General features: G+C 40.7%; 1 long non-coding RNA gene and 1 pseudogene across 2 annotated transcripts in view; one reads left to right on the top strand and one right to left on the bottom strand.

The window, feature by feature from the left end:
• Positions 1 to 14,293, bottom strand: part of LINC01205 (long intergenic non-protein coding RNA 1205) — an 85,178-nt gene extending 70,885 nt beyond the window's left edge. Inside the window, exons 1-2 of one of the 2 annotated variants that reach the window (NR_109841.1) lie at positions 14,076 to 14,293; positions 6,391 to 6,550 (exon numbers count right to left, since the gene is read on the bottom strand). This is a non-coding gene — a long non-coding RNA (long intergenic non-protein coding RNA 1205). Of the gene's footprint in view, positions 1 to 3,872; positions 6,551 to 14,075 lie in introns of those variants that run through there. The other variant, NR_109842.2, reaches the window with a different exon arrangement.
• Positions 14,081 to 15,767, top strand: H3P12 (H3 histone pseudogene 12; annotated as a pseudogene).

The following is a 16,397-nucleotide window of genomic DNA, read 5'->3' as shown; positions in this document are numbered from 1 at the left end:
TCTGTACTACTTTCTTAATTGTTCTGAAATTCTAAAACTGCTATGAAAAGTAAAATCTGAGCCAGGCACGGTGGCTCACACCTGTAATCTCAGCACTTTGGGAGGCCAAGGAGGGTGGATCACTAGAGGCCAGGTGTTCGAGACCAGCCTAGCCAACATGGTAAAACCCCGTCTCTACTAAAAATACAAAAATTAGCCAGGTGTGGTGGCTGGTGCCTGTAATCCCAGCTACTCATGAGGCTGAGGCAGGAGAATCGCTTGAACCCGGGAGGCTGCGGATGCAGTGAGCCGAGATCACACCACTGCACTCTAGCCTGGGTGACAAAGTGAGACTCTGTCTTAAAAAATAAAAACAAATAAATAAATAAATATATAGTATTTAAAAATGAGAAATATATGAAACAATGGTTTTCAGATATGTGAAAATGGCACAGGGATGTGATTCTTGAAAGAAAGCAAACAATGTGAGCCCTAAAATTGCTTCACGGCCTAGAGAGAGCTTACAGGGTGCAGCTCAGGAAGGAAGCCCCTAAAGGGAATCCACAAGGGTTCCCTGAGGTGAGGAAACAAAGTTTAGAGCTTGGGGACACCAAGACAGCTAGAATTTAAAGACCAGATTACCAGAGAAGAGAGAGCTGATAGAGCAAAGGCTCCGGAGATCTATAGAGGATTGCCCTTGATTCTTTAGCTGCCCACTGATTAGCACATGTGTTTGAGGAAACGTCCCAGGGCCAGGGAGAGAACATCAGAAAGAATCAAGTGAAACAATCACCAGAGCTCACACAGGTCAGGAGTTCATATTGCCACTAGCCAGTGTGGGAAGGCCTGTTAACACATGGTGCATCAAGCAGAATTTTCAGAAGGTGTTGCCTCAGTATTAGAGCCGAATTAGCCCTAGGACCCACCTAACAAATTAAAAGCAAACCTTAAAAAAATAAAATTGTTTCCAGATAACTGCCTGCCAAAAAAAAAAAAGACCAAAACTATTTAAAGGAATGCAAACAACCCCAGCCAACAACATAAAATTCAAAATATCTGGCATCCAATAAAATTTAAAAGGCATGCAAAAAAGCAAGAAAATGTGATTTATAATAAAGATAAAATTAATGATCGGAAATAGACACAGAAATGACACAGACAATAAAATTAATAGTTATTAAAACAGCTACTGTAAACATACTCCATATAAAAGAATGTAAATGGTAAGCATGGTAAAGAGTATGGTAAATGGTAAGCATGCTAAAATACTTAAAAGGCACAAACTGATTTCAAGAGATAATAAATGCAGTCTCTGGAAAAAATGTGCCAGATTAAATTAACACCAGACACTGCAGAAGAAAAAGTTAGTGAACTTGAAGAAAGCAATAGAAAAAAAAAAAAGACCCACAGATCAAAGGAGCTCAATGAACACCAAACAAAAAATATATATTTTATATAACATATATATACTGAAATAACTAAAAATGCTCACCGTCACTAATGAAAAATGATCGACATCACTAGTCATCAGAGAAATACAAATCGATACAAATCAAAACCACACCAGATACCATCTCATACCAGTCAGAATGGCTATTACTAAAATATCAAAAAATAACAGATGCTGGTGAGGCTACAGTGAAAAGAGAAAGCTTATGCACTGTTGGTGGGAATATAAACTAGTTCAGCCACTGTGGAAAGCAGTTTGTAGATTTCTCAAAGAACTTAGAACTATACCAGCCAACACAGCACTCCCATTACTAGGTATATACCCAAAAGAAAATAATTAATTCTACCAAAAAGACACATGCACTTGTATGTTAATTGCAGCACTATTCACAATAGTGAAGACATGGAATCAACCTAGGTTCCCATCAATCATGGACTGGAATAAGAAAATGTGGCATACATACACCATGGAATACTACACAGCCATAATAAAGAATAAAATAATTTCCCTTGCAGCAACATGGATGCATCTGGAGGCCTTACACTAAGTGAATTAACACAGAAACACGAAAGCCAAATACAGCATGTTATCACTTGTAAGTGGGTGCTAAACGATGGGTACTCACGGACATAAAGACGGTAACAATACACACTAGGGACTATTGGAGGGGAGGGTTGAAAATTTAATTATTGGGTACTACGCTCAGTACCTGGGTGATGGAATCAATCATACATACCTCAAACCTCAGCATCATGCGATATACCCAGGTAACAAACCTACACATGTACCCTCTGAATATAAAATAATAGTTGAAATTATTAAAAATTTATATATGAAGAAAATTACAAGGCATATTCACTTTAAGCCAGTGTATATTAGTTATCTATCACAGCATATCATTTTATCCAAAACTTAGTAACTAAAAACAACAAACATTTATGATTCCACATAGTTTCTGAGGGTCAGGAAGCCAGGAGTAGCTTAGCTGGGTGGTTTTGGCTCAGGGTTTCTCATAGGGTTTCAGGCAAACTGTTGGCCTGGGATGTAGTCATCTGCGATTGGAGGATCTACTTCCAAGCTGACTTCATGAAAATCAAAAACCTTTGCTCTTCCAATAACACTATTAAGAAACCCCATCTCTACTAAAAATACAAAATTAGGCGGGTGTGGTGGTGCATGCCTGTAATCCCAGCTACTCGGGAGGCTGAGGTAGGAGAATTTCTTGAACCCGGGAGGCAGAGGTTGTAGTGAGCTGAGATCATGCCATTGCACTCCAGCCTGGGCAACAAGAGTGAAATTCTGCCTCAAAAAAAAAAAAAAAAAAAAGAGAGAGAAAGAAAGAAAAGAAAATGAAAAGGCAGGAGTGGAGAAAATATTTGCAAAACATACAATCTGATAAATTACTTCTAGAATATATGAAAAATTCTTACAACTCAGGCCGGGCACGGTGGCTCATGCCTGTAATCCCAGCACTTTGGGAGGCCGAGGCGGGCGGATCACAAGGTCAGGAGATCAAGACCATCCTGGCCAACACAGTGAAACCCCGTCTCTACTAAAAATACAAAAAAATAACCAGGCATGGTGACGGGCGCCTGTAGTCCCAGCTACTCCAGCCTGGGCGACAGAGCAAGACTCTGTCTCAAAAAAAAAAAAAAAGAAAAAGAAATTCTTACAACTCAAGAAGAAGAAGACAAATGACCCAGTAAAAATGGGCAGAAGATTTGAACAGACACTTCACTGAAGAAGATACAAGAATGGTAAATAAGTACATTTAAAAATGTTTAACATCAGTAGTTACTGGGAAAATGAAAATCAAAACCATAAAGTAGTACCAGTATACCCATTGTGTAATGGATAAAATTAAAGAGAATGACCATACCAAGTATTGGTGCAGACATCAAACAATGAATGTGTTCATATATTGCTGAGGAGACTGTAAAGTGGTACAAATACTTTGATAACTTAGCAGTTTCATAGAAGTTCAACATAGATCTACTGTATAATCCAGCCATTCCAACTCTAGATATTTTACCAAGAAAATCAAAGAATATATCCATACAGACACAGACATAGACTTGTACAGAGACTTCTTACTTGCTCATAGCAATTTCATTAGTAAGAGTCACAAACTAGAAAAAAAATAAATACCCAAGAATAAGTGAATGGGTGAACATACTTTGGTAAATCAATACAATGGAATACTACTCACCAATAAAAATAAGAAACCACTGATAGATTCAACAACATGGATTAATCTCAGAATAATTACACCACGTGAAAGAAGCCAGAACCCTCACTCCAAAAATGCATACTGTAGAATTCCATTTACATGAAATTCTAGAAAAAATGGAAATTAATCTACAGTGTCAGAAATCAAATTAGTGCTTTCCTGAGGATGGAGAGAGAGGAAGGGAGATTGGATTACTAAGAAGGACAAGGAAACTTTTAGGGATTAATGAAAATATTTATTTCACTGATTAGTGTAACAGTTTATTCACTTTATAGGTACACAAAATTCTTCAAACTTTTCACTTTATGTATATGCAATTTCTTGTATGTCAAATATACATCAATAAAGCTGTAATAAGTAATAGTTAAGGATAATAATAGAGCATAACTGATTCAATAAAATAAGAATCCATAAGCCCATACTGATATTCAAAGAAAAGATCTATCTTATAGTACAATGCCAACTAATAAATGTACAAGAAATGATCAAATTAGAAAATAACAAGGCCGGGCATGGTGGCTCACACCTGTAATCCCAGCACTTTGGGTCGCTGAGATGGGCAGATCACTTAAGGCCAGGAGTTTGAGACAAGCCTGGCCAACATAGTAAAACTCCATCTCTACTAAAAATACAAAAATTAGCCAGGCATGGTGACAGGTGCCTGTAATCCCAGCTATTCAGGAGGCTGAGGCAGGAGAATCACTCGAACCCAGGAAACGGAGGTTGCAGTGAGCTGAGATTGTGCCACTGCACTCCACCCTCGGCATCACAGTGAGACTCCATCTCAAAAAAGGAAAAAAAAGAATTAGAAAATAACACTCAGCAACCACTGCTGTAATAAATTATTCAGACAAGAATTATCCATAGATGTTAAGCTCATTAAAATTTTGATGAAAAAAAGATACATATGTATAAAATTTAAAAGTAAAGCTCAATAAAATATCTGTTATTAATGAACTCTACAGTGGAGAAATATAAACATCATCTTAACAGTGTGAAAAAAGTTACTATCATTATTAATGAGGAAAATTGGTATTTTGTGCTTCCTAATGTGAGGCATTGAGAGGAAAATCGTATTGCTTCTATAGCATTCTTACCAAAAATCCATACTCTGAATCTAGACATGAAGAAACATCAGACAAACCCAAATTGAGGGAAATACTATAAAATAACTGACCTATCCTTTTCAAAAATGGCAAGATCATGAAAAATGAGGAAAAAACTAAGCATTGAAGGAAACTAAAGAGACATGACACCAGCCTGGCCAACATGGTGAGACCCTATCTCTACTAAAAATACAAAAATTAGCCAGGGGTGATGGCATGATGGCACATGCCTGTAATCCCAGCTACTCGGGAGGCTGAGGCAGGAGAATCACTTGAACCCAGGAGGCGAAGGTTGCAGTAAGCCAAGATCATGCCACCGCACTCCAGCCAGGGCAACAGAGCAAGACCCTGTCTCAAAAAAAAAAAAAAGAGAGAGAGAGAGACATGACAACTAAATACAATGCATGATCCTGAATTGAATCTTGAAACAGAAAGGAAAGGCGGAAAAGTTTTGTTGATGATGCTGTTGCTCTTCCTTTCAATAAGTGACATTATTGAACAATTGTTGAAAATTTTTTTATTATACTTTAAGTTCTGGGATACACGTGCAGAACGTGCAGGTTTGTTACATAGGTATAGACATGCCATGGTGGTTTGCTGCACCCATCAACCTGTCATCTACATTAGGTATTTCTCCTAATGCTATCCCTGCAATTGTTGAAATTTAAGTGGAATTTGTGGATTAAAGTATTGTAGCAATGTTAATACCCTGATTTTGATGAGAGTATTGAGGTTCTATGGAAAAGTATCCTTGTTTTTGGAAATACACACTGAAGTATTTAGGGGTAATTTGTCAACATGTCTGCAACTTAATCTCAAATGTATCAGGAATAAAATAATGGTACATGAAAGAAAAACAGACAAATGTAAATGATTAATAATCAGGAAATCTGGGTGAAGGGTATAAGGTAGTTCTTTGTATTATTTGTGTTTTTCTTGCAAATCTATAAATTTGAAATTATTTCATGGTAAAAAAGGAATTTGAGGCTGGGTGCAGTGATTACAGGCATGAGCCTGTAATCCCAGCACTTTGGGAGGCCATGGCAGGCAGATCACCTGAGGTCAGGAGTTCGAGACCAGGCTGGCCAACATGGCGAAACCCTGTCTCTACTAAAAATACAAAAAGTAGCCTGGCGTGGTGGCGTGCACTGGTAATCCCAGCTACTCAGGAGGCTGAGGCACAAGAATCACTTGAACACAGGAGGTGGAGGTTGCAGTGAGTCTAGATAATGCCACTGCACTCCAGGCTGGGCAACAGAGTGAGACTCTGTCTCAAAAAAACAAAAACAAAAAATAAATAAATAAATAAATAAAAACATGAAGATTCTTAAGCCAAAGAAAAAGAAAAAGAAATTTGAGGAGAAAATAAATTTTTAAAAAAATTATTTCAAATTAGATTTTACAAACTAAAACATTATTGGTGAATTTGGTTAAAGGGTATCTAAGAGTTCCTTTCATTATTCTTGCATCTGCATCTTTTCTGTAGGTTGAAATTATTCCCCCCCGCCCTCCAGAAAAAAAGTAGGTAATGGAAGTCCTGGGAAGATGAAGAGAGGCTTCTCTGGCCTTGAGAAAGAGCCAGTATATTTATTCATACATTCAACATATATGTATTAAATGCCTACCTTGTGCCAAGCATTATCCTCGTTTCTGGGGATGTGGACTTGAATGGGTGGGGTGCAGTGGTGCAGACCTGTAGTCCCAGCTGCTTGGTAGGCTGAGGTGGGAGAATTGCTCGAGCCCAGAAGTTCAAGTCCAGCCTGGGCAACATAATGCGACCCGTCCCTAAGGAAAGAATAATAATAAAATAAATAGACTTGAGTGGAACAAGTATAACCTGGAGCTTATTAGTTAGGGGGTCCAAGGTAGCCAGCCACCCAGAGACCCTTTCTTGAGGAAACTGAGCAAAAGGAAGGGGGTATCAGCAACAGCAGTCTCTGGATAGCAACATTATTATTGTTTAAAGCCCTTAAATACATCCAGTCCTCTTCTGAAAGTTTTTGTTCAGCTTTTCACCTGGAAGAGATTCATCATTATCAAATTCTATATCACTTAAATTCAAATGTCCAATAGTGTCACTTACAGGAAGAATAACAACAGCATCAACAAACATATTCCCTGCTATGGACTGAATGTTTGTATCCCCCCAAAATTTCTATGTTGAAATTCTAACCCCCAATGTGATGGTATTTGGAGATGAGGCCTCTGAGGGTAATTATGGTTGAGGGTAGGGCCCTCCTGATGGGATTAGTGGCTTTATAAGGACAGGAAGAGGCCAGGCACAGCGGCTCATGTCTGTAATCCCAGGACTTTAGGAGGCCAAGGCGGGCGGGTCACTTGAGGTCAGGAGTTTGAGACCAGCCTGACCAACATGATGAAACCCCATCTCTACTAAAAATACAAAAATTAGCCGGGCGTGGTGGCACGTGCCTGTAGTCCCAGCTACTCCGGAGGCTGAGGCAGGAGAATCACTCGAACCAGGGAGGTGGAGGTTGCAGTGACCCAAGGATCGCGCCACTGCGCTCCAGCCTGGACGACGGAGTGAGACTCCACGTCAAAAAAAAAAAAAAAAAAAAAAACAGAGAGAGAAAGGAGAAAGAACAATCTCTCTCCCCCTCCAGGTGCAACTGTGGAGTAAAGGGCATGTGAAGACACAATGAGAAGGCAGTTATCTGCATGCCAGGAGGAGCATCCTCACCAAAACCTAGCCATGCGGGCACCACAACCTCCAGAACTGTAAGAAAATACATTTCTGAGGCCGGGCGCAGTGGCTCCTGCCTGTAATTCCAGCACTTCAGGAGGCCGAGGCAGGCGGATCACCTGAGGTCAAGAATTCGAGACCAGCCTGACCAATATGGTGAAACCCTGTCTCTACTGAAAATACAAAAATTAGCCATGCGTCATGGCGTGTGCCCGTAGTCCCAGCTACTCGGGAGGCTGAGATAGGAGAATTGCTTGAACCCAAGAGGTGGAGGTTGCAGTGAGCCGAGATCGTGTCACTGCACTTCAGCCTGGGCAACAGAGCGAGACTCCATCTCAAAAAAAATAATTAAATAAAATACACATCTGTTGTTTAAGCCACCCAGTATGTGGTATTTTGTTATAAGAGTTCAAGCTAAGACATTCCCTTTCCCTCATTTCCTTTCTTCTTCAAGTTCTAATTCGGGATCAAGTGTCATATTTATTTTTCATGTTTGTTGCAATAATGTCTCTCTGCCGTCATTATGAACACATAAATAAACTAGAGAGGAAGTGCCTATGATCGATGTTTTATTAAAAAAGTGTTTTTTCTTTCAACTACAAAATAATAATAATAATAAAGGGTAATTTTTTAAAAGCACTTAGTAGCTAGTATGTTAAGGATTTTAGAAGGTTTGTCTCACTAAATCCTCCCAACAAATATGAGGTGGGTTCTACTATTACTCCCACACCCCTCATTTGTTAATGACTTAAAGAAGTGAAGTCTCTTTCTCAAAGTCATGGCAGTATTTAAGTGGTAGAGCTAAGAAGAATTCTCCAGAACACAGCTTCTTAAATGTACATACAAATCACCAAGGGATCTTGTTAAAATGCAGAAACTGATCCTGTATGTCTGGAGGAGAACTAAGACTCTGCATTTCTAATAAGCTCCCAGCCGATGCAGAGACTGTCCTCCACTAAATACCCTTTGAATAACAAGGCTGTAGACGTACATGACAGCTAAGTGTGCCCCGCACTAAGCCCTCGCTAGGTATTTCCTGAATTATTTAACAATGGCAGAGATAAGGAAAGAGAAAGAAAGATTTTAAAAACCTGTTGTTGACCTTATTGAGGTTAGCAAGTCATGACTATTTTAACTTTTCTTTACATGGATGTTGTAAAATAAAATATCTTGTGGGAGAGTTGGAAGATTTCCAGGCAGAAGATACTGCACAATTACAGAAGACAATGCAATACTAGAAAGCTGAGAACAGACCATTACCATGCAGTGAGCGCTTTACCTCTATGTGTGTCTACTTAGCGGCAGCACAATTTCAGCAAGACTGTATTCCTTGTCCATACTTCTTTCCATTGACCCAGTTAGTGAGAATGCTGTGAATTAATACTAAATATCTCACCCTCTAAATATCATATGAGGTTATTGGGGCTGCAAAAATCCTGTTAGGAAGAGAAGAGTCACTGGAAGCAAAGCTGAAGGCAAATGCTAGCTGCTAATGTTCCTACTAAGAGTCTGTGGGTAGAACTACCCATCAAAGCAAGTTACTGATAGGGCAACTGCACATTAGTGTTTCTGAGTATAAAGTACAAGTACAGGTTGGTGTGTAGCAGCCTCCAGAAGAGATAAGTTTTGAGACAGACCTTAAACACTCCTGTCAATCATTATTTAAAAAAAAAATACAGCTTTACCAATTAACTTGCCATAAGCTGCACATCACATATTCAAAGTGTACAATTTTATAAGTTTTGACAGATGTATGTATATTCATGAAACCATCATCACAATCCAGATAATGAACAAGTCCAACCATCCCCTGAAAAGTTTCTCATAACCTTTTGTAATCCCTACCCACTCCCATCTCCAGGCAACTACTAATCTACTTTCTATCACTGTAGGTGAATTCACATTTTGTGTGTTCTCCTTTTGCTCGGTTTCTTTCACTTAGCATAATTATTTTGAGACTCATCCACATTGTTGTGTGTATCAATACTTTGCCCCTTTTATTGCTGAGTAGTATTTCATTGTACAGATACACCACGGTTTACCATTCACCTGTTCATGGCATATGGATTATTTCCCATTTTTTTGGCTATTACAAATAAAGCTGTTTTGATGGCATTGTCATTTTTACCTGTAGAAACTCACTTTAGGTCTTTACAAAAAAAAATCTTTTTGAGCATATGAAATAGAGTTATAGTAACTGGCTTTAATGTCCTTTACTTCTTCTTTTTTTTTTTTTTTTACAGAGTTTCACTCTTGTCACCAGGCTGGAGTGGAGTGCAATGGTGTGACCGCCACTCACTGCAACCTCCGCCTCCCAGGTTCAAGTGATCCTCCTGCCTCAGCCTCCCGAGTAGCTGGGATTACAGGCACCCACCACCATGCCCGGTACTAATTTTTGTATTTTTAGTAGAGACAGCGTTTCACCATGTTGGCCAGGCTGCTCTCAAACTCCTGACTTCAGATGATCCACTTACCTCGGCCTGCCAAAGTGCTGAGATTATAGGCATAAGCCACCGTGCCCAGCCTCTGTATCACTTCTTGATCCAATTCAATTGATTGATTTTTCTCTTCATTATGCATCAGTTTTTGTTGTTGTTGTTGTTTTTTGCCTTTTTTCATGCCTAGTAAAATTGTGAATTTCACCTTGATGAGTTCTGCATCTTTTCTGTATCTCAATAAATATTCTTGAGCTTTGTTCTCAGATATAGTTAAGTTACTTGGAAATGGTTGGATCCTCTTTTGGTCTTGCTTTTGAGACTTATTAGGAATGGGCCGGGTGTGGCGGCTCATGCCTGTAATTCCAGCACTTTGGGAGGACAAGGTGGGCAGATCACTTGAGGTCAAGGGTTCGAGACCAGACTGGCCAACATAGTGAAACCCCAACTCTACTAAAAATACAAAAATTAGACAGGCGTGGTGGTACATGCCTGTAATCCCAGCTACTGGACAGGCTGAGGCACAAGAATCACTTGAACCCAAGAGGTGGAGGCTGCAATGAGCTGAGATCCCACCACTGCACACAAGCCTGGGCAACAGAGTAAGGCTCCAAAAAAAAAAAAAAAGGCGGGGGGGGGGGCCGGGCACAGTGGCTCACACCTGTAATCCCAGCACTTTAGGAGGCCGAGGCGGGCGGATCACAAGGTCCGGAGATCGAGACCATCCTGGCTAACACGGTGAAACCCCATCTCTACTAAAAATACAAAAAATTAGCCGGACATGGTGGCAGGCACCTGCAGTCCCAGCTACTCAGGAGGCTGAGGCAGAAGAATGGCGTGAACCCGGGAGGTGGAGCTTGCAGTGAGCCAAGATCGTGCCACTGCACTCCAGCCTGGGTGACAGAGCGAGACTCTGCCTCAAAAAAAAAAAAAAATTAGGAATGACCAGAGCCACGATTAGTCTTGGGTTAACTTAACTATTGCACACTACTGAGTCAAGGCCCTTCTCAGTATTGTCCCCAGCGTCCTGTGAATTGTGAGCTTCTCCAGTCTAGCTAGTAAGATGGCAGTTTCTCTGGCCTTGTGTGAGTGTTATATGCTCTTCTCTCTAATCCTCTCAGTGGTTTTTCCCCGGCTTTGAGTCATTTCCTCTCATGGATGTGCTGACCAGCTTTCTCCTGAATACTAAGGGGCACCCTCTACAGATCTCCAGAATTCTCTCTGGGGCAGCTCCTTCACTTCTGGCACTCTGTCCTGAAAATGCTAGCTGCCTCCGTTTCCCCAGACTCTCAACTCTGTCTCCTCAACATACAGAGTTCTACCAGACCCTGCCTGGGGTCCCCCTCTCTTTGTCACAACCTGGGATCTCTCTCAGTTCAGGAGGCTGTGTAATCACAGGGCTCATTTGTTTCCCATTTTCCAACATTACTGCCCTTCATTGCTTGATGTCTTAAAAATTGGTTTTATATATTTTTTGTCTATTATTTGGTTTTTTTCTATGTTTTTTCAGAGAAGACTGTAAACTCCAGTAATTCTTATTCCATCTTGGTAGTAAGATATTTGCATCTTAAATTTGTGCTGTGGTATAGGTTTTTGAGCTCTGAGATATAAGCACCAGACCAACTCCCCCTTTTTCTCAAAGGTCTGAGTATTAGATCTGTAGGGCCCTTATTGTAAGCCTTTAATGGGTGGTAATTTCAAATTCTTCCCTTTGCTTCTCCACCTTTATGGGTGCGTCATGGGCTGAGTTGTGTTCCCTCAAAATTCATATGTTGAATTTCTAACCCCCAGTACCTCACAAGGTAACTGTATTTGGAGATTGGGTCTTTAAGAATTAAGTTAAAATAATGTCATTAGAATGGGCCTTAATTCAATATGACTGGTGTCCTTATAAAAAGAGGATGTCATTAACCCAACCTGTTGTCACAATGCATCACATCAGTCTATTTCACACACACACGCACACACCACACACACACACATACACACACAGACAGTGCTATTTTCCTCATCTCTATTCTTTAAACAGAAGATACATTCAGTATCTGATTGTGGAAGCAAATCAAAGCATCTGAGTAGAAATCTTAAACACTTTAGAATCGTAAACTCTACATTTTTGCATGTTGTCTGTTTTGGAGGGGCCTATGTACATGTGGGGTTATTATATTGAAACAAGGGAATACATTTACACTAGTGTAGCAAAACAAAGAGAACTGAGAAGAATCAGAAAATGATGACAAAACTGGTAGTCCTAGACTCTAGGTTATGGCTAACTCAAGATTTTACTCCCCAATGTACAAAATACACAAAAGCTGATTATTATATCGACTCTAAATATTATCATTTTCTAGGTCGCTTATAACCTCAAATTCAGAACCTAGAATCTAACATGCAGAAAACAGTAGTAATGATCATGTTACTATTAAAATTGTAAATATGACAAATAACAGAAAAAAGTGATCTTTTTGAATCCCAGAAACGCCTAACCCTGAGACCATCCAAAGCTATCTAAAAGTGACCCAGAGTGAGATATGTGTCAGGAAATTGGAGCTGTATAGTCTTATTTTTCTTCATTTATATATATATTATATAAATATACATATTATATATTATTATTTATTATTTATTATATAATATATTGTTTAATATTTAATATATCTTATTATATATTAATATATATTTTTTGAGACAGGTTCTCACTCTGTCACCCAGGCTGCAGTGCAGTGGCTTGATCACGGCTCATAGAAGCCTCAACTTCCTGGGCTCCCAGCTCAGCCTCCTGAGTAGCTGGGACCACAGGCACACGCCACCAAGCCCAGCTAATTTTGTTTTTATTTTTTGTAGTGATGGGGTCTCCCTGTGTTGTACAAATTGGTCTCAAACTCCTTGACAAAAGCAATCCTCCCCTCTCGGCCTTCCAAAGTGCTAGGAGTACAGGTGTTAGCCATTGCACCCGGCCCGTTTATAATTTAGTATGAACTCTTAGTACTGTCCTCTTCGTTAAATAGAGGCATGGATTTACAAAAAACCATTGATATAAAAAAAAGTAACCTTTTAATTCAAAATATTTAATCAGAAACAAATAGCTGTACTTCCTTAAAAGATAAGTCCTCAGCCTGGGCAACATAGTTAAACCCCTTCTCTAGAAAAAAATATAAAAATTAGGCTGGGCGCAGTGGCTCACGCCTGTAATCCTAGCACTTTGGGAGGCTGAGGTGGGCGAATCACTTGAGGTCAGGAGTTCAAGACCAGCCTGGCCAACATGATGAAACCCTGTCTCTAAAAAAAAAAAAAAAAAATAGCCGGCATGGTGGCGCACGTCTGTAGTCCCAGCTACTTGGGAGGCTGAGGTGGCAGAATCGCTCGCAACCGGTAGGCACAGGTTGCAGTGAGTCAAGATCCCACCATTGCACTTCAGACTGGGCGACAGAGCGAGACTCCGTCTCAAAAAATAAATAAATAAAATTAAAGAATACAAGAGCACCCAGATTCATAAAGCAAGGTCTTTGAGACCTACAAAGAGACTTAGACTCCCACACAATAATAGTGAGAGACTTTAAAACCCCACTGTCAATGTTAGACATTTCAACGAGACAAAAAATTAACAAAGATATTCAGGACTTGAACTCAGCTCTGGACCAAATAAACCTAATAGACATCAACAGAACTCTCCACCCCAAATCAACAGAATGTACGTTCTTCTCAGCACCACATAGAACTTATTCTAAAATGAACCACATAGGCCGGCCGCGGTGGCTCACGCCTGTAATCCCAGCACTTTGGGAGGCCGAGGCGGGGGGATCACGAGGTCAGGAGATCGAGACCATCCTAGCTAACACGGTGAAACACCGTCTCTACTAAAAAAATACAAAAAAATTAGCCGGGCGTGGTGGCAGGCGCCTGTAATGCTAGCTACTCCGGAGGCTGAGGCAGCAGAATGGCGTGAACCCGGGAGGCGGAGCTTGCAGTGAGCCGAGATGGCGCCACTGCACCCCAGCCTGGGAGACAAAGCGAGACTCCGTCTCAAAAATAAATAAACAAATAAATAAAAAATAAAATTGACCACATAATTGGAAGTAAAACACTCCTCAGCAAATGCAAAAGAACGGAAATCATAACAAAGTTTCTCAGACCACAGTACAATCAAATTAGAACTGAGGATTAAGAAACTCACTCAAGGTGTTCGCAGCCGCCGCCGCACCGCCATGCCGCCATCACTCTCCAACGCCAGCGCTGCCTCTGGCTCGCAGAGCTCCAGCTGAAGGATAAGGGAGGTAAATAAGGAAGCCTCTATACCATGGCTTGTACAAAGCGGACTGCCTGCAAATCGACCGTAAAGCAGCCAGGAAGCAACTGGGTACAAAAGCCGCTCACAAGAGTGCGCCCTCTACTGGAGGGGTGAAGAAACCTCATCATTACAGGCCTGGTACTGTGGCACTCCGTGAAATCAGACGTTATCAGAAGGCCACTGAACTTCTGATTCGCAAACTTCGCTTTCAGCGTCTGGTGCAAGAAATTGCTCAGGACTTGAAAACAGATCTACGCTTCCAGAGTGCAGCTATTGGAGCTTTGCAGGAGGCAAGTGAGGCCTACCTGGTTGGCCTTTTTGAAGACAGCAACCTGTGTGCTATCCATGCCAAACGGCTAACTATTATGCCAAAAGAAATCCAGCTAGCACGCCGCATACAAGGAAAACGTGCTTAAGAATCCACTATGATGGGAAACATTTCATTCTCAAAAAGAAAAAAATTCTCGACCGGGCGCGGTGGCTCACGCCTGTAATCCCAGCACTTTGGGAGGCCAAGGCGGGCGGATGACGAGGTCAGGAGATCGAGACCATCCTGGCTAACACAGTGAAACCCCGTCTCTACTAAAAATACAAAAAATTAGCCGGGCGTGGTGGCGGACACCTGTAGTCCCAGCTACTCGGGAGACTGAGGCGGGAGAATGGTGTGAACCCAGGAGGTGGAGCTTGCAGTGAGCCGAGATCGTGCCACTGCACTCCAGCCTGGGCGATAGGTGAGACTCCATCTCAGAAAAAAAGAAAAAAAAAAAGAAAAAGAAAAAAATTCTCTTCTTCCTGTTATTGGTGGTTATGAAGGTTAGATATTTTTTTCCATGGGGTCAAAAGATACCTAAGTGTATGATTGCAAGTGGAAAAATAGGGGATAGAAATCAGGTAATGGCATTTTTTCAATTTTCATTTGTGTGTAAATTTTTAATATAAATGTGGAGATGTAAAGCATTAATGCAAGTTAAAATGTTTCAGTGAACAGGTTTCAGCAGTTCAACTTTATAATAATTATAAATAAACCTGTTAAATTTTTCTAGACAATGCCAGCATTAGCATTTTTTTAAAAACAAGTAAATTTCTTATTGACAGCAACTAAATGGTGTTTGTAGCATTTTTATCACACAGTAGATTCCATCCATTCACTATGTTTTTCTAACTGAGTTGTCCTACATGCAAGTACGTGTTTGTTTGTTTTCTTTTTTTTTTTTTTTTTTTTTTGGAGATGGAGTCTTGCTCTGTCGCCCAGGCTGGAGTGCAGTGGCAAGATCTTGGCTCACTGCAACCTCCACCTCCCAGGTTCAAGCAATTCTCCTGCCTCAGCCTCCAGAGTAGCTGTGACTAAAGGCATGTGCCACCACACTGGCTAATTTTTCATATTTTTAGTACAGATGGGGTTTCACCGTGTTGGCCAGGATGGTCTCCATCTCCTGACCACGTGATCTGCCCACCTCAGCCTCCCAAAGTGCTGGGATTACAGGCCTGAGTCACTGCACCCAGGCAAGTACATGTTTTTAATGTTGTCTGTCTGCTGTGCTGTTCCTGTAAGTATGCTATTAAAATATATTAAACTATTAAAAAAAGAAACTTATTCAAAACTACAAAACTACACGTAAACTGAACAACCTACTCCTGAATGACTACTGAATAAATAACAAAATTAAGGCAGAAATAAATAAGTTCTTTGAAACCAATGAGAACAAAGACACAACATACCAGAATCTCTGGAACACAGCTAATGCAGTGTTTAGAGGGAAATTTATAGCACTAAAAGCCCACAGGAGAAAGCAGGAAAGATCTAAAATCAACACCCTAACACCACAATTAAAAGAACTAGAGAAGCAAGAGCAAACAAATTCAAAAGCTAGCAGAAGACAAGAAATAACTAAGAACAGAGCAGAACTGAAGGAGACAGAGACATGAAAAACCCTTCAAAAAATCAGTGAATCCATGGCTGGGTGCAGTGGCTCACGCCTGTAATCCCAGCACTTTGGGAGGCTGAGGCAGTTAGATCACGAGGTCAGGAGATCGAGACCATCCTGGCTAATGTTGTGAAACCCCGTCTCTACTAAAAATACAAAAAAATTAGTCGGGCGTGGTGGCAGGCACCTGTAGTCCCAGCTACTCGGGAGGCTGAGACAGAATGGCGTGAACCCGGGAGGTGGAGCTTGCAGTGAGCCAAGATCACGCCACTGTACTCCAGAC

Source organism: Homo sapiens, chromosome 3 (genome assembly GCF_000001405.40).
Source record: "Homo sapiens chromosome 3, GRCh38.p14 Primary Assembly".
Classification (NCBI taxonomy): Eukaryota; Metazoa; Chordata; class Mammalia; order Primates; family Hominidae; genus Homo; species Homo sapiens.
This window is presented reverse-complemented; position numbering and strand designations above follow the sequence as displayed.